Source organism: Homo sapiens, chromosome 9, assembly GCF_000001405.40.
Source record: "Homo sapiens chromosome 9, GRCh38.p14 Primary Assembly".
In the NCBI taxonomy this organism is placed as follows: domain Eukaryota; kingdom Metazoa; phylum Chordata; class Mammalia; order Primates; family Hominidae; genus Homo; species Homo sapiens.
The window spans coordinates 118055415-118078538 of NC_000009.12; the positions used below are offsets into that span (position 1 = coordinate 118055415).

General features: G+C 33.0%; 1 long non-coding RNA gene across 1 annotated transcript in view, besides 1 other annotated feature; it reads left to right on the forward strand.

Moving 5' to 3' along the window:
* Positions 1-1615: 1615 nt before the first annotated feature.
* LOC105376247 (uncharacterized) overlaps positions 1616-23124 on the forward strand; it is a 109985-nt gene continuing 88476 nt past the window's right edge. Inside the window, exons 1-3 of the long non-coding RNA XR_930293.3 lie at positions 1616-1737; positions 8465-8523; positions 15054-15095. This is a non-coding gene — a long non-coding RNA (uncharacterized LOC105376247). The remainder of the gene's footprint in view (positions 1738-8464; positions 8524-15053; positions 15096-23124) is intronic.
* Positions 4204-4404: a silencer, noted in NCBI's record as "peak7325 fragment used in MPRA reporter construct". NCBI's record gives its function as "represses an SCP1 promoter by STARR-seq MPRAs in K562 erythroleukemia cells {active_cell/tissue: K562}" and the evidence as "EXISTENCE:reporter gene assay evidence [ECO:0000049][PMID:32103011]".

A 23124-nucleotide genomic window follows, 5' to 3' on the forward strand; every position in this document is an offset into this window, starting at 1 on the left:
TGTGTGAACAATTAAGATGTATCCTTTAGCAAATTTCAAGTACACAGTGGAGTATAATTTACTGTAGTCATCATGCTGAACAGTATATCCAGAATTCACTCATCTTGCCTAACCTTTTAACTAGCATCTTCTCATCTTCCCCCGTCCCTGCCCCAGCAACCACCATTCCAGAATGCGCTTCTGTGAATTTGATTATTTTATATTCCACTTATGAGTGAGGCCCTGCAGTATATTTGTCGTTCTCCATGTTATCTGGCTTATTTCACTTAGCATAATGTTTTTCAGGTTCACTTATGTTCCCATGAATAGTAGGATTTCCTTCTTTTTTTAAGGTTGAAATATATATATATATATATATATATATACAATTTTAAATTGTGTATATATTTAAGTATATACATTTTCAAATTATATATATAGTCACATTATAGTTATATTTTCAAGTAGTGTATCAAATTGTCTTTATTCATCTTTTGAGGGATCAATAGGTTGATTCTATATCTTGACTATAGTGAATAATACTGCAATAAACATGGGAGTGCAGAAATCTCTTTGACGTACTGATTTCAGTTCCTTTGGATATATACTCAGTAGTCGGATTGCTGGATCATATAGCAGTTTTATTTTTAATTTTTTTAGAAATCGCCATACTGTTTCCATAATGGCTGTACCAATTTTCCTTCCTACCAACAGTGTACAAGGGTTTCTTTTTCTCCAGACCCTTTCTAACAATTGTTATCTTATCTTTTTAATAATAGCTATTCTAAAAGGTAAGAGGCGGTATTTCAAAGTGGTTTGGATCTGTATTCCTCTGATTATTAGTGAGGTTGAGCATTTTTTCTTTTATCTCTTAACTATGTCTATATCTTCTGAGAAATGTTCAGTGAGGTCCTTTGTTCATTTTCACTCAAATTATTTATTTATTTATTTTGCTGTTGATTTATATATATTTGTTATTCATTTTGGATATTAACCGCTTATCAGATACATGGTTTACAAATATTCTTTCTCATTCTGTAGGTTGCCTTTTCCCTTGGTTTATTGTATCTTTTTCCATCTTAAGGTCTTTGAGGAAAAGGAGAATTCATAAAATATTTACATGATTACAAATTGAGAAAAGTATTTTATTATTTAGAAAGTATTTCATTCCTTGTCCATTCCTCCACTTTGTTTCCTCCCTGACCCTATGCTTAAGCATCTTTATTAGATTTGCTTTATCCTTTATTATTTCTCTCCCTGTGTGTGTTTGCTTACCTGTGCCTGTGCACATGTGCACACATTTATGTGTTTCCCTCTTAAACATATAGAAGGTAGCTCACTTGAAATACTAACCAGGACCTCCCTTCTACTCACTTACTTAACAATATATGTTGGAGATATTCTGTAGTTTCTATGAAGAGATTTTATTTATTCTTTTTGTACATTTTTTGTAGTATTCCATTATAGAAAGGTCATGGTGTATTTAAGCAGATTATTACTGAAGGATTCGTGGGTTGTTTTCATTTTCTTGTAATTGCAAGAAAAATAAAATAAGATGCAATAAAAGATACATCTACATGACATTTTTATATTTCAACAGTTTAACTCATTTTTTTTTAATTTTAATTCTTTTTAGACAGGATGTCACTCTGTCACCTAGACTGGAATTCAGTGGTGCAATCATAGCTCACAGCAGCCTCAACCTCCTGGGCTCAAGCAATCCTCCAGCCTCCATCTCCTGAGTAGCTGGAACTACAGGTATGTGCCACCACTCCTGTATAATTTTTTTATTTTTTGTAGATATAGAGTGTCACTATGTCACCCAGGCTGGTTTCAAACTCCTGGGCTTAAGTGATCCTCCTGCCACGGCCTCCCAAATAGCTGGGATTATAGATGTGAGCCACTGTGCCCAGCGTTAACCAATTTTTGATAAAGCTGTTGTGAATTGTTCCAAAACTCACTGGATCTTCTCTTCCCCCTACCTTTTCAAATGTACCTTCCTTTCCAGGGAAGGATGTTTTCCTGCTATGCCATGTGAGCTCTCTGTAAAGTCCCCCTTCAAGGTCTTTAATACAGGCAGAAATTACTTTCTCTCACCCATCTATCTAGCCGTATTACATTCATCATTCAGTTCACACAGTGCACTTCTGCTTTTTCATTTATTGTTCCATGAACAATTCATCTACTGTTGCATTCTTTCTTCTTTGAAATTGCATCACAGGATTACTTCTCTTGGAATATAATCAGGAACTATCCTATAGTTTTATTGAGATGTGGCATATGTCAGTATCATATTATTACAATAAAATACTACATTCCTGGAAAGCAGAAGCCATCACTTTTTGTATCACTCATAACTCTATCATTGGATTGATTACAAGATAAACATGTAATAAAAATACTTACTGAATTGAACTAAATCAAATTGGGTTAATTTTCCTGGATCATCAATATTGTTTGAGGCATGATATAGAATTATTCTACTTGGAGCAAACATGTCTTTCTAAAACACGAAGTAGAGTGGAACTTTAAAAATGATTTCAAAATATATTCCTTAACCAGAAAAGAAAACAATAGGCATATAAACAGAGAGATGGGTCACAACACAACCCTGGCAGGGTGGAAAAAAGCTCTTCATCTCCTAACTTGTTCATGAGTCAAGTGGTCTTTCCAAATCATATTTTTAAAATTATGTTTAAGAAAACTAGCATAGAATTTCTAAATCCCTCAGGCTTCTGAGTCTCCATTGTCAGTTCCTGAAGTAACTAGAAAACCTGCCAAATCTGACCTTCTTTAAACAACATACCTCTATTTTTTCCAGAGGAAAACTGTAAAGATCAAGTCACAGCTGCCTGTATTACCTAATTAAACAAGTGTAAGAAAGCCGAGAAAGGTCAGGTTGTCAAAAATCATTGCTGTATCTTTACTGGATTGTATTTAACGACTGATTGCTGCAAAGAAAATAACCCAATAAGGTGTATGAGCCTGGAATAGTAAATAAACTCAAGGGTCAGACTTCTGCTTGGAACATAGCAAAAGATTTGGAGATAAAAACCTAGGAAACAAACAAAGGGAAATGAAAGGGAGAGAGTGTGTGGTGAGTAAAACAAACAGCTGATATTTATATGGAAGAAGTTCCATGGGCTAAGTTCAAAGAAGAAACAGGACATAATTACAGATGAGAGTTTATTAACTTTATTTATTTTCTGTTTAAATCCTGGAGCAAAAATGATAGGTGTGTATGTGAGATGGTGCAAGAGGAGGATATGCAAGAGAATTATGTGATAAAGCTAAAACAGAAGAAAGGGAAATTAAATATTTTAAATAACTGAAACATGTTTAGTCAGGTATGGGGGATTTTTTAGTTACCTATACAGGCTCAGAACTTCCTAGGTTGCATGTTTATTTGAGGGGCCTTATAGGCATCTTGTTTCTCCTCCACCCATCCTTTCACTATGAGTTGAAGTTGTAGAGACTTCTAAATAGCTTACCCCAAGGAACTAAAGTACAAAACGATTGCTCCAAATTAGCAGTTTCTTCATTGAGAAAGGAAGAAGTGGAAATATTCTTTTTTTCCTCAAGTCTACTTTCCGTTTGAAACATTGTAGACATGGGCCCATTGGGAAATTCTGTGTTCTAGTTAACCTCTGAGTGTAATTTTCAGTTCAGTAAACTTTGGTCTATTTTTAAACTCTCTCCTGAATCTCTGAGGATGTTGTGTAGTCTGAAAGATAGACTCTGTGGCCTCTGGGAATGAACTGCTCATATTTGGTAAGTGAGCTGAAATATACATGTATGTATTATTTAAGAATACTTATATATTCAAAGGAAAAATATACAAAGGCATAACTTCATAAAACCAATATGTATGTATGTAATATATTCATGTGTGTTTGTGCATCTGTGTATAATTAAAATATTTTTAAATATAATCTATCAGATGTCCTCAGGTCTTTTTTTCTCAATGATATCATTTAAATATTTATGAGATAAGCTATAATAGAATCTATAACTTGTAGCAACAGAATGGAATACATTTTTATTACTGTGACAGATGAGAATTCAGCTTTTTCCCTCAATCCTCAGAATGGCACGGATGCCATCTCACCATGAACAACTGACAATGCATTTAAATAGTGCACCATTGCAAGTATAATTGCAATTTGTTGTAATTTCTGCTTAAATTCCTCCCTGACACAGTTGATTTATTTTGCAAATCAGCGCATCTAGAGAGTATACTGTGTCGCATTATGGGCCTTTGATATAGAACCTTTGTTTTATAACAGGGAAAATAATTAGCTTTTGGATAAGCTTGAGTTGCGATGTCAGGCGCTATCCGTGGTGCTGAAAGAAGTTATTAGCGCTGAGCTAATGAAGGCACTCAGCCAGGCTCTGCCACCTTACTAATTTGTCTCTTTGGGATTTTAGCAAACATTAAAAATGAGATAAGCAAAAAATAGGATAAATTTTATAGGAAAACTAGTAAATTTGTTGATAGAGTCTACTGAGACCCCGATAAAGCCAAATTTAAGAGAAATTTTTATTTAACCAGATGTTTGCCATTCAAACACGAGTTTCCTTAGTGTTGGTAATAAAATTGCTTAGACATATTTTAATTAACTTTTATATAGGTTTCTCTACGTGAAATCTTACAGCATTTTGGAAATAATCAGCAAGTTGCAATGTCAGCATTCGTTGTATGCCAAATAAGGCTCTAATTTCAGGATACTCTCTTTGAGACTGCAAAGTAGATTTGTATCAAAGGCAAATATTATATAAGAGGTAATTTTAAGTGATTGATTGTTGGTTTTAAGGTGTAATATTTCACCTAAGAGTAATCTATGCTTATCTACTTTCATCTTTTGAAATTGTTAAAATAAAATCTAATTGTTGAATACCTCATGCTCCCTTTTTCTTGATACATTGGAACTTGTTTGCATTGCAACCAGTAGCATGTTTCACTTGGTGCTGGTTAGGGGAGCATTTAGCGTCAGATCTAAAGAAGATCATCACCAGCTGGTTATTTTATACTCTTATTAGGTTGTAAAATAGCACTCAGGTATATAACAGTAATCACAAAGCTGTGATGCTGGGAAAAAATAATCACGTTAAATTGACCTTCATGAATAACAAGTGACGTTCCATTTCGCTTCATTTCTGTTCATTTTAAAACCAGCATTAGCTTTTCTGGCACATAATTTTTCATTGTTTGCTGAACACAGCTCTATTAGAATGATTCACTGTCTTTAATATTAGTGATTATGGTCCATTTCAATTACACAGTGTGTTATATAGTTTGTTATATTGCTCTCCATATCTCTGCTATTTGACTCTACTGGGAAGGATTAAATGTAGCAGTGGTGGTAAGAAGTTGGGGTTCTGTGGGTGGTAACGAACCCCTGTAAACATTTACAAAGTCATGTATAGAAAGTTTCAAATATACGTATGCTTTTCAAAATTGCAAGCTTTTCAAAATTGCAGAATGAGATACCTTTTCATGTCACTTGGCATTAATACATGAATTTTCTCTCTCTCTCTCTCTCTCTCTCTCTCTATATATATATAATCTATGTATATATAATATATATACACACATACACACATATGCACATCTATATATATGTGATTTTACATCAACTTCATAGAGACATAAATATAAAATTTACATGTAATAAAAGTGTCTATTTTAAAAGTACATTCTGAAGAGTCTGATTAAATTTTACCCTGTAAGACCACCCTGCCAAGCCAATAAGATGCTTTAATTACAGCCAAAATATTCCTTCATTCCTTTTCAGTCAACTTGTCCCATGATTAACTCCAGGTAAACTGTGCTATTATTTCTATCACAATTAATTTTGACATTTTCATAATTCTATAAAAATGGAATAATAGAGAATGTACACTTTTATGCCTGGCATATTTGGATGACAAATTCATGTTGTTGTAATTTTGGGTAATTTGTTTTATAGGTTAGTTGTGTATCATTGCATGAATATACTATAATTTGATTATACATTCATGAGTGATAGACACTGTGTTATTTCCACTTTGTGGCTATTTTGAATAAAGTGGTTATAAATATTTTGCAATTTTTGTGTGTGGACATATATTTATATTTGTTGTGGGTAAATACCTAGGTCTGCAATGGTTGAGTCATATGGTAAATATGAGAAATTAGTGAAATGTTATTCATAGTATCATTTTTAATCATATTAACTTTATATAACATGTCTAAACGTTGCACATCATAATCAACACTTGGAATTGACAGACTTTTAAACTTTAGTTGTTCTAGGGATGTGATGGTACTTTGCTGTAATTTTAAAATTAATTTCCCTAATAATGAATGACAAAAAATTGTTCATGTGCTTATCCATCATTATATTATTTTCTTTTGTAAAGTTTATGACTATATCATTTTCCCACATATGTGAGGTTGTTTATTCTTATTACTGAGTGGTAAAAATGTTTCTATTACCTTCTCCATAAAATTCCATTGTCAAATATATATAATTACAATATTTCCCCAAGTATCTAGGTTTTAAAAAAAATTAGAAAAATTTACTGTTAAACTTTTTTAATTTACTTTTTAAAAATACTGTTAATTTAAAAAAATTAACAGTATCTTTAGATGAAGTCCAATTTAATATTATTACTATTTACTATTAGTTCTTTACTACATTACTGTGTGTTCTAAGAAAGGTCTGCCTATATCAAAATTGCAAAGATTTTCTCTTTTATTATACCCTGTTTTTATGTGTGTTTATACCCATGAAATATCACCACAGCCAAAACAGTGAAATGCTCATTGTCCCCCAACATTTCCTCATACTGTATTCTATTCTCTTGCTTCTGCCCCTCTGGAGGCCTACCTACTTGTCCAGAGACAACTAATGATCTACATGCTATCACTATGGATTAGTTTGCATTTTATTAAAATTGACAAAAATTGAATTAAGTGGTAAATATTTTTTGTCTGATTTATTTTACTCAGTGTAACCTTGAGATTCACTTATGTTGTTGTGTGTATCAATAGTATTTTTGATGAGTGTTTTACTCACTTATTTTATTGTTGGATAGTATCCCATTGTATAAATAAATCACATTTTGTTTATCCATTCACCTTTTGATGAACATTCAGGTTGCCTGTTACAAATAAAGCTGCTGGAGACATGTGTAGTCAAGTCTTTGATGGACAAATGCTTTGTGTTCTTTTGGGTAAACAATTAGGAGTAAAACACCTGGATCACATGGTTGGCATATGTCTAACATTTTTTAAGAAACTGCCAAACCATTTTCTAAGGCAGTTGCACCATTTTATGTGATATCCAACAGTATACAAGAATTTCACATTTTTACTACCACTGGTATGGCCAGTCTTTGTAAGGTGTAGTGCTATCACATTATGATTTTAATTTGTAATTTCTTAACAACTTATGACATTAAGAATCTTTTCTTGTGTTTACTTCCTATCTATATCTCTTCTTTGATGTATCGTTTCAAGTCATTCACCTAAAGTTCTGTGATCTTCAGGTTTTCCAATCTGGCGGCTGGGAGCAGGTGTTATGCTTGCTTCTGTGGCTGCAGGTAGTTTCCTTAGGTAAGAGCTCTGATAGCACTCTTCTAAATACTCCAGAGCAACTCTCTGCAAATTTTCAGAACTCCATTTCAATACAGCTGTTTCCTCTGTGCTAATGTGTCAAGTATTGCGTTCTACTTGAACTCTTCCAGCTCTTCTCAGTTCTGAGTCCACTAGGCTCCACTTGTTTTCCCTCTTTTTGTGTCATGTCCTGGAAATTCCCAAGCCAATGAAATGTTTCAACTCTAGGGCTCAACTACTTTATTTCCCATATCTTGGAAATTACTCTTTTTTTTTTTTTTTTTGCCTCATGTCTAAAAAAACACTGTTTCTAGTATTTTTGGTTCATTTGTTTGTTTTTGTTCTTTTAGTCAGGAGGGTAAATCCAGTACTTGTTACATTATCTTAAATCAAAAGAGAAGTTGCAATATAATTATTTATTTTTCTTACCTTTTTCCCAGGCTAGGAGCTCTAGTACAAAATTGAATTGAAGAAATAATAATGGAAAAGTTTGCATTATTCTAGTTTTAGGGAAAAAGTAATTTTTTCTCACTAATTGTTTTAGTCTCAGTATTTTTGTAAATATTCTTTATTAATTTAAAATAATTTTTTTCTGTGTTTAATTTGCTCAGAGTTTTTCTCACGAATGAACATTGATTTTTATCAAACCATATTCTGCATCTTTTGGGAAAATTATGTGATTTTCTATGTTCTATTAATATGGTAAATTATAGTAATCAATTTCCAAATGTTAATCCAAACCTTGAGTTTCTAGGTAAACCATATTTTGTCATGCTGTAACATTGCTTTTATATATTGCTAAGTTTGGTTTGCTGGTATTTTGTTGAGTATTTTTGCATCTTTGCTTTGGGTGACATTGACTTATAGTTCTGTTTTTGTTTTTAGAATGTCCTGTGTGCTTTTGGTATGATCATTATGCTGGACTCACATGAGAGATGGAAAAGGTAATTTCTTCCTTCATTTGCTCAAAGAATGTATGTAAGAATAATATTTTTTCCTTAAATATTTGAGAGAGTTTACCCACAAAGTCATGAGGGTCATGTAATTTTTTAAGATAATTTTAAATTATGAAATTAAAATTTTCATTTTTGTGTGTGTGTCAACTTTGGTAACTTAGATACCCTAACTTAGGGTATCTCCCCTAAGTAGTGTGTCCATTTCAGGTAAGTTGCCAGATTTTTTGGCATAACGTTATTCATAGTATTTCCTTATTTTACTTTTAAAATGTGTGGGAACTATTCTGATTTCTGTTGAATATTTGAAAATGTGTGTGTTTTCTGTTTTGTTCTTGATCAGTGTAATTAGCCTTTTTTTCTTGTTTTATCGAACTATTCGAAAAGCAGTTTACATTTTATTCATTTTTTTCATTTTTTATATCTCTGTGCTTAATTAATATTCACTTTTATGTCTTTTAATTTCTTGTATTCTATTTACTTTTGTATAAATTTGCTGGGTTTTTTCCTCTAGTTTCTTATATTGGATGCTTAGATAATTTGAAATATTTCTTCTTTTCTATGACTAGAATTTAAAGCTACAACTTTTATTCTAAGCTCTGCACTATCTGCACCTCAAAATTTTGTATGTTGTCTTTTTATTCCCATTCAGTTTAAAATATTTTTCAAATTCCTATGTGCTTTCTTTTTTGACCAAGAGTTATCTATAACTGTGTGTTTGATTGCCATCTCTGTAGGATTCTCTAGGTACATTTTTGTTATTGATTTCTCATTAATTCCATTGTTATCACCGAGCATGCTTTGAACAATTTCAGCCATTTAAAATATATTGAGATGTTTAATGAGTCAGCAAATGGTTTCTTTACTTAAGTGTTTCACATGGATATAAAGAAGTAATTGTTTAACTAAGCCTTATCTGTTTAACTTTGTTTTTGTGGCATTTGCTTCTGGGTTCTTGGTCATGAAGTCTTTGCCTAAGCCAATATCTAAAAGAGTTTTTCCGATGTTATCTTCTAGAAATTTTATGGCTTCAGGTCTTAGATTTAAGTCTTTCATTCATCTTGAATTGATTTCGGAATAAGGTGAGAGATGAAGATCCAGTTTCATTCTTCTACATGTGGCTTGCCAATTATCCCAGCACCGTTCGTTGAATAGGGTGTCCTTTCCCCCCTTCATGTTTTTGTTTGCTTTGCCAAAGATCAGTTGGCTGTACGTATTTGGCTTTGTTTCTGGGTTCTCTATTCTGTTCCATTGATCTATATGCCTATTTTTATATCAGCACCATGCTGTTTCGGTGATGATGGCCTTTTAGGATAGTTTGAAATTGGGTAATATGATGTCTCCAGATTTGGTCTTTTTTACTTAGTCTTTCTTTGGCTATGCAGGCTGTTTTTTGGTTCCATATGAATTTTAGGATTGTATTTTCTAGTTCTGTGGAGAATGATTGTGGTATTTTGATGCGAATTGCATTGAATTTGTAGATTGCCTTTGGCAATATAGTCATTTTCACAATACTGATTCTACCCATCCATGAGTATGGGATATGTTTCCATTTGTTTGTGTTGTCTATGATTTCTTTTAGAAGTGTTTTGCAGCTTTCCTTGTAGAGGTCACCTCCTTGGTTAGGTATATTTATAAGTATTTTTTTTGGTAGCTACTGTAAAAGGGGTTGAGTTCTTGATTTGATTCTCAGCTTGGTCACTGTTGGTGTACAGTAGAGTCACTGATTTATGTACATTAATTTTCTATCCTGAAAGTTTGCTGAATTCATTTACCAGTTTTAGGAGCTTTTTAGGTGGGTCTTTAGGGTTTTCTAGGTATACAATCATATCACCAGCAAACAGCGAAAATTTGACTTCCTCTCTAGTGATTTGGATGCCCTTTATTTCTTTCTCTTGTCTGGTTGCTCTGGCTAGGACTTCCAGTGCTATGTTGAATAGAAATGGTGAATATATGGGACTTAATTAAACAAAAAAGTTTCTGCACAGCAAAAGAAATAATCAGCAGAGTTAACAGACAACCCGCAGAGTGGGAGAAAATCTTCAAAACCTATACAGCTGACCAAGGACTAATATTAAGAATCTACAAAGAACTCAAACAAATCAACGAGAAAAAAAAAATCCCTTAAAAAAGTAGGCTAAGGACATGAATAGACGATTCTCAAGAACAGACATAGAAATGACCAACAAACATATGAACAAATGCTCAGTATCACTAATGATCAGGGAAATGCAAATGGAAAGCACAGGGTGATACCATCTTACTTTTAAAGGAATGGCCATAATAAAAAAAAATAATAATACAAAGACGTCGGTGTGGATGCGGTGAAAAGAGAACACTTTTACACTGCTGATGGGAATGTAAATTAGTACTATGGAAAACAGTGTGGAGATTCCTTAAGAACTAAAATAGAAAACGATCCAGCAATTCCACTACTGGGTATCTACCCAGAGAAAAATAAGTCATTATACAAAAATGATACTTGCACATGCATGCTTACAGCAGCACAATTTGCAATTGCAAAAATATGAAACCAGCCCAAATGCCCATCAATCAACAATTGAATAAAGAAATTGTGATATCTATCTATCTATCTATCTATCTATCTATCTATCTATCTATCATCTATCTATCTATCTATACACACACACACACACACACACACACACACACACACACACCATGGAAAACTACTCAGCCATAAAAAGGAACAAAATAATGACCTTCACAACAACCTGGATGAAATTGCAGACCATTATTTTGAGTTAAGTAACTCAGGAATGGAAAATCAAACGTTATATGTTCTCACTCATAAGTGAGCGGTAAGCTATGAGGATGCAAAGGCATGAGAACACTGTTGTAAACTTTGGGGACTCGGGGGAAAGTGTGAGAGGGAGGTGAGGGATAAAAGACTACACATTGGGTACAGTGTACACTGCTTGGGTGACTGGTGCACCAAAAGCTTAGAAATCACCGCTAAAGAACTTATTCATGTAACTGAACACCACCTGCTCCCTAAAAACCTATTGAAATAAATAATATATTAAAAAATGTGTATTCTGTAATTATTAGGTAACATTCATTATCAAGTAGATAAACATGTTTTTTGGTATTATTTAAATATTCTTTATTATATATATATATATATATGTATTTTTTTTTTTTTGAGACAGAGTCTCACTCTGTTGCAAGGCTGGAATGCAGTGGTGCAATCTTGGCTCAATGCAACCTCTACCTCCCAGGTTCAAGCCATTCTCCAGCCTCAGCCTCCGGAGCAGCTGGGACTGCAGGTGTGCACCACCATGTCCGGCTAATTTCTGTATTTTTAGTAGACACGGGTTTTCATCATTTTGGCCAGGATGGTTTCGATCTCTTGACCTCGTGATCTGCCCGCCTTGGCTTCCCAAAGTGCTGGGATTATAGGCATGAGCCACCGTGTCCGGCCTATGTTTAATGATTTCTAAACCTACTATTCACTCAATTGCTAAAGGTGTCTTAAAATCTGAGAATACAATTGTGCAATTGTTTATTTCTCCCTTTAGTTTTATCCATTGTTGTTTGATGTTTATAGAAGATCCTTTGTTTGAGGTGTTCTTATATCATCTTTATAAATTGGCTTTTATAAGGTTATAAGACACCCTTCTTTATCTATGATAATATTCCTTGATCTGCAATCCCTTTTGTCTGATATTAGTATATCCATCCCAGATTTTTTACAGTTAATGTTTGCATGATACATGTTTTGTATCATTTTACTTTTAAATTACCTGTGAATTTATAGTTTGTGTCTTCTTGTAGAATGCATGTAGTTGAATATTTATCATCATGTCTGATATTGTCTGCCTTTTAATTTGTGTTTTAATTCATTAACTTTTAATGTAATTATTGATACTATTGGGTTTAAGTTTACCATCTTGCCATTTTTCTCATTTTTCTATTTGTTCTTTCTTTCCTTCATTTTCTTACCTTCTATTACATTGTTTTCTTTAATTTTAACTTACTTTATTAGTTTATTTAATATAAATAAATACATAACTTGACATAAACTCTTTGTTTAATTATTTTCACTGGTTGCTGTAGGTTTATAATTGTGTGTATTTACATTATCACAATCTACTTTAAAAAATTTATACCAATTAATATATTAGAATCTTAAATTAGTATACTTCCATTTCTCCCTTTGTGTCCTTTGTGCTATTATCTTTATACATGAACTTGTGATGAATCCCACAATACCTTATTATTAGTCTATGCTTTATGCAACTAATTATCTGTTTAAAGATGTCAAAAAGTAAAAAAGAAAATCATTTTATATTGAATAAGATATATATTATTTTGATGCCCTTCTGATGTTAAAAGATTTTCCCATCTTGCCTCCTTGTTGCTTACCTGGAAAAGAATATTCTTTTACTTTATTTTATATTGCAGTTCTATTGAGGGGAAAAAAAGAACTCTCAGCTTTTGTTTATCTGCAAACATCTCCATTTAACCTTCAGTTTTGGAAAGCGATATTTTGAGCAATCTTCTTAAAGGCAATATTTGTAAGGTATATTTTAAAAGGTATTCTTTTTCCTTCAACATTTAAAAAATATTGATTCATTACCTATGCCCTTGCATTGTCTCTAATTATACTTCTATTGTTACTTTTACATTTTCCTCTTTATATAATATGTTCTTATTCTCTGTGATAGTTTAAGATTTTCTTTTTATTATTAATTTAGAAAATTGATTATTATATGTCTTTCTAGTTTCTGTGTGTGTGTGTGTGTGTGTGTGTGTGTTTCTTGCTCGTGTTATATTATGCCTCTTTGTTCTAGATATTATTTTTTAATCAAAGATGCACTATTTAATATTTTGCTTTTTCAAATATTTTATGAAAACATCCTCCTTCTAGGATTTAAGTATAAAACTGCTTGAACTACACAAATATCTACCTCATAATAATGATAAAGTAGTAAACAATAGTATTTGTGATATAGATATAAATATTGGCCTCTTATGTCTTATTTTCTTATTTTCAAACTTTTTTTTTCTCTGAGCTTATGTTTGGATTGACATATAGTCAATTTCATTGACCTTTTCTTCTTTGAACTGAAATATTCCATTAAACCTATCCTTTTACATTTTCATTTCAGATCTTATATTTTTCCATTCTAGTATTCCCATCTAGTTTTTTTGAAAGTTTTAATTTTTTCAGCAATATTCCTCATCTCTTTGCTCATTAAATACATTTTTCCTTCAAATCCTTAAGCATCTCTATATTGGCTGTATAATAGCTATGTCCAAGTTCTTGACTCTAATTTCAACATCTCTAACATCTCGTGTTTTGTTCTTACTGAGTGTATTTTTCCTCATTTCGCCATTGTTTTCTACTTCTTCACATATCTACTTATTTTTTGACAAGAAGAACATAAAAATCCATCATCTTTGAGATTCTGGATTTTGTGGTTTTCGTTTAGAGAGTGCAAAATTTTCTTCTGGCAGGCAATTTGTTTCCTCATGTCTGAGCTTTAACCTCTGAAGATAGATTATAGTCATTTTTTTAGGTGGGTCTAGAGAAGTTCTTATTCCCGGGTTAAATTATTCTCCTTCCTCAATTGTGGCCCTTTTGGTGTATTACTTAAAAACCTAAAATATTAGATGAGATTCATCCACTCCGGTTGATCAGAATGCCTGTTTTCTAACATTGTGTGACCTCTGAACCTCTGGTCATCTCAAAGCTTCCCGGTACTTGTTCTCTGATAGGTCTTGTAGAGTCTGACCCTCTGCATTCATGGTTTCGAATTTATGGTGCCCACTACACATTCTGGGACTTCTTCTCTATGCAGCTCCCTTTTTGGTGCTACCCCTTCCTACAAATTCCATCTACCTCAGCAGTCTTACACCCTGTTCATTCCATCTCACATCATTAGGTCTGTAACAATCTGCTTGTGCTTTACCTGTTGTACTACAATCTAGAAATTTCCTTCCATACCAAAGTTGGGGCTATCATGAGGACCATTTTCTCATAAATCATAAGCTTGTCCATCATATTAAGCAACATATGAAAACTCTCATTGCATTTATTTTCTTTAGCTTTGTAGTTGTTTTGGGCAAGAGGACAAGTTTAGTATCATTTACTCCATCAAGACCTAAAGCAGCCACGTGAGTTTTGAAATGTGCCAGAATACTTCCCAACTGGAAGCTTATACTTCCAAAATATAATGTCCTCCCTTCTCCCATGTTCATTGTTTCAAGATATACTCTTTTGATTATGACAATGATTACAAATTAGCTTTAATCTCTTATAGCAATCATTGATTTCATGTAAATTAAAGTGCATAGAAAGATGATTTAACCTGTGAGATGCAATGCTGAAGACAGACAATGAGGAACAATAACAGAGAGTATTTTTTTTGCTCTTAAATATCACATAAATAAACTTCAATTAGATGTAAATAGCTTTAGACTTGTTGCTTTGTAGAAAATTAAATTTAGAAAGTAATTTAAGTACAACTGAGGCCACTTATTTTATCTTACAGATGGGGAAACTGAGTGCTAGAAATCCAAGGTTCATAAAGTTGGTAAGCAGTAGATTTTGGTCTTTTAAAATTTTTTATGCTTTCTACTTCAATAATCTTTCTATTATTATTTGGTTCAACAAGACGCATCAACTTATATAAAGTTGCAACTCCTTTTTTTGTTTTCTATAAACAGGCTACAGCAATTTAAAATCATGAGATTTAAGATTATTGTTTTTCTTTAAACTAAGTGACAAGTAAGTGATTGATGAAACACATATTTAACTGATTTGAGCATGCATGTTTCTAAGAAGGCCAGAAGCTTGCACAAACCTTATCCTGATCTTTCAGTGTGTGAACCTTGACCTTCAGTCTTATTGGAACAAATTGCCTCTTGAGCATTCTACTTAATTCAATTTCCATCTGTTTTAAAAATATAATAACAACATTTCTTGAGATAATTCAGTTATTATTCTATCAGAAGTGTAGAAATAACAGCCAGACTTAGGATGAAAAATAAAATCATATGAAATTCAATGACCTAATTGACAACTGTTCTCTCTTTCTCTCAAACACACACACACAAACATACACACACACACACACACACACACCACATGCACCATGAGCTTTTTCTTTATTTCCTTATAAAAGCAATGGAGATTTTTTCTTTTTTAAAAAAATCTAATCTAGTTTGCGTTAGAATTGCTAGACTCAATATTATATAAATGAATGCAAGAGGAAAATGATAACATTGTTTCCAATTTTTAGTTCTAGTACTGCCAATATGAGACCCACTGCCCAGATGGAAGTACTTTGTTGTATACAAATACTATATTACATTCTTACTATGCACATTAGATTATAGAGAAACTTCTTTGTTACTTCATTTCACTCTCCCAAAAATCCTGTTAGCAATTGTATCTATCTACATCTTACAGCCCTGTTATATTAAGAAAACTGGCCAAAGTTATATCACTAGAGAATGGTTGAAACTAAGTATTTAGATGTCAAAGCTATTAACTTTTAAAATATGTCATAATTTGCTCTTTCAGTTTAAAAAACACAGTGAAACTACATCAGAATTAACAAATGGAGTATTTTATGGGTAATTCAATTATGTCCTGATCTTGATAAGTTTTGCAACCTCGAATGGGCTGGCAAAAAATTCGGAGTATAATTAGCTCGGTTTTGAGTAAATCATTCTAACTTCACTAATAATACTTAGGGTAGGCCTGTGTTGCTAATGAATGATATTATGGTTATAGGACAAAGAAATAGTTGCATCCTAATTTTATTTATTCTCTGTTTGTTTAAAGGATTCCCCAAATGATAAACACATAAAAGATAATGGCAAATGAAATACAAACTACTTTTAATTACTTGCCAAACTCTTACCTCAAATGCCAATGAAAATGATTACAACAATCTGTGGAGTGGCAGATACTTTAACTTAAATGCTAAAATTTGAAATGCACCAGACTTGAGGGACTCTCCCTTCTCTTAAGTTAAAACCCAAACATGCACTTCTGAAATTTCATCAAAGACAAAAAAGTACATCTTATGAACTGAATGTTTGTATCCACCTCAAAGTTCACATGTTGAAAGTTCTACCCCTCAAGGTGATGGTTTTAGGAGGTACAACCTTTGAGAGGTGATTAGGTCACTAAAGTAGAGCCTTCAGGAATGGGATTTGTTTTCTCATAGAAGAGACCCTAAAAGCGTATTGACTGTTCTACCATGTGAGGACATGGCAAGAAGGCACTAGAAAGTGGACCTTCACCAGACACTGAATCTGCTGAAAACTTGATCGTGGACTTTGCAGCCCCCGGAACTGTGGGCAATATATTACCATTGTTTATAAGTCACCCAGTTTATGGTATTTTGTTACAGCAGCCTGAATAGACTAAGACAGTGCATGAATGCGTACCAGCCAGCTTAAGAAAAATAATATAGGACTTTTACGGGAGACCTTGTGGCATTTTACATATCTTGATGGACACATGAGGGAAGAAAGACTAGCCTCTTGTAAATGACATTTAAATAATCAGTGACCGTTCTCTTTATTAAATATGGCTGAATCCCTTTCTTAGAATATGACACATCATATAAACAATACTTGATAAACTAGAGACTTAATGAATAATTGAAAAACAAATATATTTTCCTTTCTATAGACTTTCAAGGTTGGATATGAAAAAGAAAAATTAATGAAAAAAATGACATTCCCAAATAGAATTTACAGAATTCACAAACTATCAATAACCTTTATTAAATAATCAAATACAAACCTTAGTTATTTCATTTTGGATATGGTAGAACAGTCAATCCAAATGTGATCAGCTCATCATATATCAAATATATGTTACATGAAATGTAATCAAGAACTCTGAAATTTTACTTAATTCTATTTCTAGAAATATCTAATTAATTAATGTTTTAGAGACACCGTCTCACTGTCTCTAGGCTGGAGTGCCATGGTGCCAATGTAGCTCACTGCAGCCTTGAACTCCTGGGCTCAAGCAATCCTCCCACCTCAGACCCCTCAGTATCTGGGATTACAGGTGTCTTAATTGTCAACATGATAGTATTAAGCAGTGGGGCCATTGGAGGGTGATTAAGTTATGAGAGCACAGCCTTCATGATTGGGATTAGTCAACTTATAAAAGAGATGCAAGAGAGCTGTTTGCCCCTTTTCCCACGTGAGAACACAGTAAGAGTCACCATCTATGAAGCATAGTATGAGCCTTCACCAGACAGCTAATCTACTCATAACTTGACAGTGAACTTCCCAGACTCCAAAACTGTGAGAAATAAATTTCTATAATTTATAAATTACCCAGTCTAAAGTATTTTGTTATATCAGCCTGGATGGACTAAGATTATATTTATATGTATATACAATGTATACATGTGTATATATAAACATACGTACATACAATGCATACATGTATATATATAAATGCACATGCACATATATATGGAAATAATATTCTTTATATATGTCTAGGAAAATCTCTTGGAGAACTGAAAAATAAGCACACATACACATATACACCAAGCTTATGGACAGTAGAATGTTTTAAGAAAGAGCTATGATGTCTAGTTTGGAAGCAAATGAGAAGATCCTATTCTTATTTAGGAGATATAAAAATAACTAAATAGATAAAAATGACTGAATTAGGAAAAAGACTGAATGCCATGGGCTGATTGTTAAGAGACATGCTTGAATGTTTGGAATATCCACAAACTTATGTTTATTTAATGTAAGCAGTTAGCCTTCTGATTCTCATATTCCACATATCCACAAATAAGACTCAAAACTTTATTCTGTATTATCAAAACACAAAACAAATGTAAATGGAATTTAAAAGCCAAAGATGCTACAAAGATTTTGACTACATGATGACATCAAAAAGACAATGAAGTTGATATTGAATAAGACAAAGGACAAAATGTGATGTAACAGATATCATCAATACTCTACCAAGCTCTCCTTGGATCCTTCATGCAGGCCCTGCGTGCTCTGCTCTGTCTTCTGTGTGATTCGTTTCTAACAGTGAGCACCTGTGACTAACTTTGAGGATGACTGTTGCATTATCACAGCACTTGCTTGGAAGGTGCAGATACTCAAAAGTATTAGACAGTCTTTATCTGCCTGTGACTGTTCTTAGCCAATGACTCTCTATTGTAGGAGTTTCAACGCCTAGCTCCTTGGCCACAAGTACACAAATTCCAATAATAAGCTACACAAGAGCTTTCCCCAGGGGCTTCCCTCAAGCATTCTTCCTTGAAATCGCTCAATTGCTTCGCATCCTCTTCTGCTCTGTCCTAATCTCCTATTACCTTACTAGATTGTTCTGGAAAGTCATGAGGACATAGTTATCTCAGGGTCTTCTTTTGGGAAACTCAAAATAAGACAGATGATGATTCCTCCTATTATATATCACTTTACGGTTTTCTTTATTATATTACTTTATCTTCAATTCATCTTGTGAGGTGTTTATTTCAAAAATGGAAAAGGTGACCCTATAAAGATTAAGTGATTAACCTGATATCATACAACAATTCAAGTGCAAAGTCAAAACTTGAACCTTTCTCAGAATGTTAGAATATATATATATTTTCAGTGACATCTATCCAAGTGTATATTATTACAGAACACTTTAGTTTGCAAGATAGCTCCCCTTGTTTGATTGGAAAATCTTGGCTTAATATCAAACACCATGGAGATATAAGAAAAAACAACAATTTTAGGGAAAGATAAGTTTATTTTACTTGCATATAATATCTGAAGATGTAAGATCTTATGAAATAAAATTTTTAACAAATTGTCTTATTTGTTACTAATAGTAAGTGTCAAGTTGAATGACCCTTAAATAAAAGAAAAACATGGATAAATTACATTTCTCCAAGAGACAATAAAAACATCCTTTTTAAGTATCTATCACTCTATCCAATCTGATGGACACTTAAAATATCACCTCTAGTGATTGCATTTGAAAGAAAATTACTTGAACATTTTAATCTTTTATAAGTTTATAAGTAATAAACTGAAAATCTAAAGACATTGATTAAATAAATGGACTACTTGGTTACAAAAACAAATGTTAACATTGACTTTTTTTCTTAATTTCTGAATATTGATGTAAACTGACTGCCTACCATTAAAAAAACTAACCAGTTGTGCTTACCTAGCTGTTTTCTGGAAGTATAAGTGAGAGGCAGAGGATCTTAGTTTTTGATCATTTTCTGTTTTGCTAAGAACTCTTGAATTCTACAGAATATCTAGAGTAAAAGGAATATGGTCCCTGTGCCAATTGTTTAAACTCTGCAGTAATCAGGAATACACAACCTTTTAAAAAAATGTGCCAGCTGCGGTGGCTCATGCCTGTAATCCTAGCACTTTAGGAGGCGGAGGCAGGAGGATCACCTGAGGTCAGGAGTTCGAGACCAGTTTGGCCAACACGGTGAAACCCTGTCTTTACTAAAAATACAAAAAAATTAGCTGTGCGTGGTGGCAGGTGCCTGTAATCCCAGTACTTGGGAGGCTGAGGCAGGAAAATCACTTGAACTCGGGATGCAGAGGTTTCAGTGAGCCAAGATCACACCATTGCAATCCAGCCTGGGCAACAAAAGGAAAACTCTGTCTAAAAAAAAAAAAAATGCGTTGATGATTCTACCTTTAGTCAAGATAGAGTAACTGCTACTGGACTGAGTCTCTTAAAGCAAAAATAGAGAACTGGACAAAATGTATGAAATAAGTGTCTTCAGACATTGGACAGAATTCTGATCTCTGAGTAAAAGAGAAGCTCAAGTGAGTTAAATGATTGCTCCAGTTTTCTACCAAAAGTCATTTCCCCAGCTGTAGCATAAAAGAGGCACAGTTTAGTAGTCTTATTGAGATGACACAAAGGAATGAATTTGGAGAGGCTAAAGTGGTTGACATATGTAGGGCAAATTATCAAAGTGAAGAGTACTCAAGAACCTACATAGAGTCTCCCTCAGTCTATTATTGCTAAATATCAGTCTCTAAATGTGCAGGATTAGAATGTAGGAGACTGTGCAAGGAAAAATCATTGGTGATAGAACAATACTTATGAGTCGAACAACTCCCAGAGTTCACAAACATTTGGGAAGCACCCAAGTTCTGATTACACAAAAAGGAAGAACCATTGTGAATACCTGGAGCATTCTTTAAAGAACCCAGAAAGCCCAAAACCTTAGAGTAGAAATAAACTACCCTGAAGTAAAGTTGTTTGGTGGGAAAATATTGGCTTAATATCAAACACCATAGATATATAAGATGAAAACAATTTTAGAGAAATATAAGTTTATTTTACTTGTCTATGATATTTGGAGACATAAGACCCCGTGAAACACGTAGACATGCTAGCAAAACTTAAAACCAGTAAATTACCTGCTTTCTTAAAAAATCCACATTGGTTAAAGAAATACAACAATATCCAGCACGAATCAGTCAGTAGCAACAAAGCAAGAAATATTAGAGATGATAAGATTAGTAGATGAGGCCTTAAAGCACACATTATAAATATGTGCAAGGACTTAAAGGAAACATAAATACAATGAAAAGTAAAAACAAAAAAATTTAAAGACCAAGGGGGAAATATCTAAAGTTGATAAATATATGTAAAATGAAAAATCACAAGGTAAGCTTAAAAAAATTGGATATTATAGGAAAAAAATAAAGATATTTCAGTTGAAACCAAATAAAATGCAAAGAGAAAAATGACTGAAATAAATGAACAGACCCTCAGTAAACTCTGGGGCAACATCGAGAATTGTAACAAAAGTGTAATTGGAGTAGCAGAAGGAAATGGAAGAAAATGGAAAAGAAGCATTCAAAATGGCTTAAAATTTCTAAAAATATATGAAGCCATGTATCCACGTAGACCAACAGATCTGAAGGAGGAGAAACACAAATAAAATCATAACAATGGACATAATGATTAAGTTGCTGAGTGCTAATTTTATATATATATATATATATAAAACTTAAATAGTCAAGATAGAAAGCTGAAGCTTTATGGGCTTAAAGTATCAGAGGACACAGTTTGAGATAACCTGGATTCTCTAGAAGCATGGGAACCACAGAGAAGGGGAGCAACTCTGAATAGGTATTTTAAAAATCAAATTCTTGGCCAATCGTCAAATAATTCAGGTCCACGTGAGGATCTTAGAGATTGGCAGGAAAATAAGGAGCAGTTGGAAGCTACATGAACAGAACAGAGACATCATCAAGTGCAATAATGGGGGAGACAAAATTTGCAGTTTAAGTTTTGTAACATTAACTCTATTAAAACAAAAGCAACAAGAATCTTCAGAAGAAGCTAACAGAATTCAGAGGCACCATGATTTATTTTATGTAATGTCCAGTTTAATTTTCAACCCAAAGTATTAGACACAAAAAGATTCTGAACAGTGTGACACATTTCCAGGAAAAAAAGAATTCAGTCAATAAAAAAAAATGAGTGTCATTGAGATCAGAGATCAGATTGAAGCAACAAATAACTACAAAAATTACTAAAAATATGTGAAGAAAAATATGGTTTTGTATCAGTGTGTAAACATGTAAGTATTCTAACAATTAAAGCTAACTTAATAAACATTTTACAGCTAAAAACTAAGTAGCCAAAATTAATTATTTACTGAATGCGTTTGTTAACACATTGTGTCTATCAGAAGAAAAGGACTAGTGAACTTGAATAAAAACTAGTAACATTTTCATTATTGGAATAATAGGGAAAATATATATTTTTTTCAAACTTTATTTTAAGTTCAAGAGTACAAGTGCAGGTTTGTTACATAGGGAAACTTGTGTCATGGGGGTTTGTTGTACAGATTATTTCATCACTCAGGTATTAAGCCTAGTACCCATTAGTTATTTTTCCTGATCCTCTCCCTGCTCTCACCCTTCAGCCTCCGAAAGGCCCCAGTGTCTGTTGCTCCCCTCGATATATCCATATGTTCTCATCATTTAGCTCCCACTTAGGAGTGAGAACATGTGTGTATTTAGTGTTCTGTTTCTGTGTTAGTTTGCTAAGGATAATGGCCTCCAGCTCCATCTATAGCCCTGTAAAGGACATGATCTCATTTTTTATTAGGGCTGCATAGTATTCCATGGTGTATCTGTATTACGTTTTCTTTATCCAGTCTATCGCTGGTGGCCATTGATAGATGGCCAGTCTATCACTGATGGCCAAAGATTTAATTTTTTGTGAATTAAATCTTTGCTATTGTGAATAGTGCTGCACTAAACATACGTTTGCATGTGTCTTTATAATAGAGAGATTTATATTCCTTTGGGCATATGCCCAGTAATAGGATTGCGGGGTCAAATGGAGAAAATATTAAAGAAGAATCTTAGCAGAAATAATAGCTAAATATATTCCAATTGTGTTTGAAAAACATTAACATGCAAGTTAAAGAAGCTCAACAAACATCAAGTAGGATAAACTCTAAGAAAATACTTTTGCATCAAGTCAAAACCAAAACACTAAAGTCTGAAGATAAAGAAAAAACCTGGAATACTCTGAAAAAAATATATATTGCTTTAAGGAACAACACTATG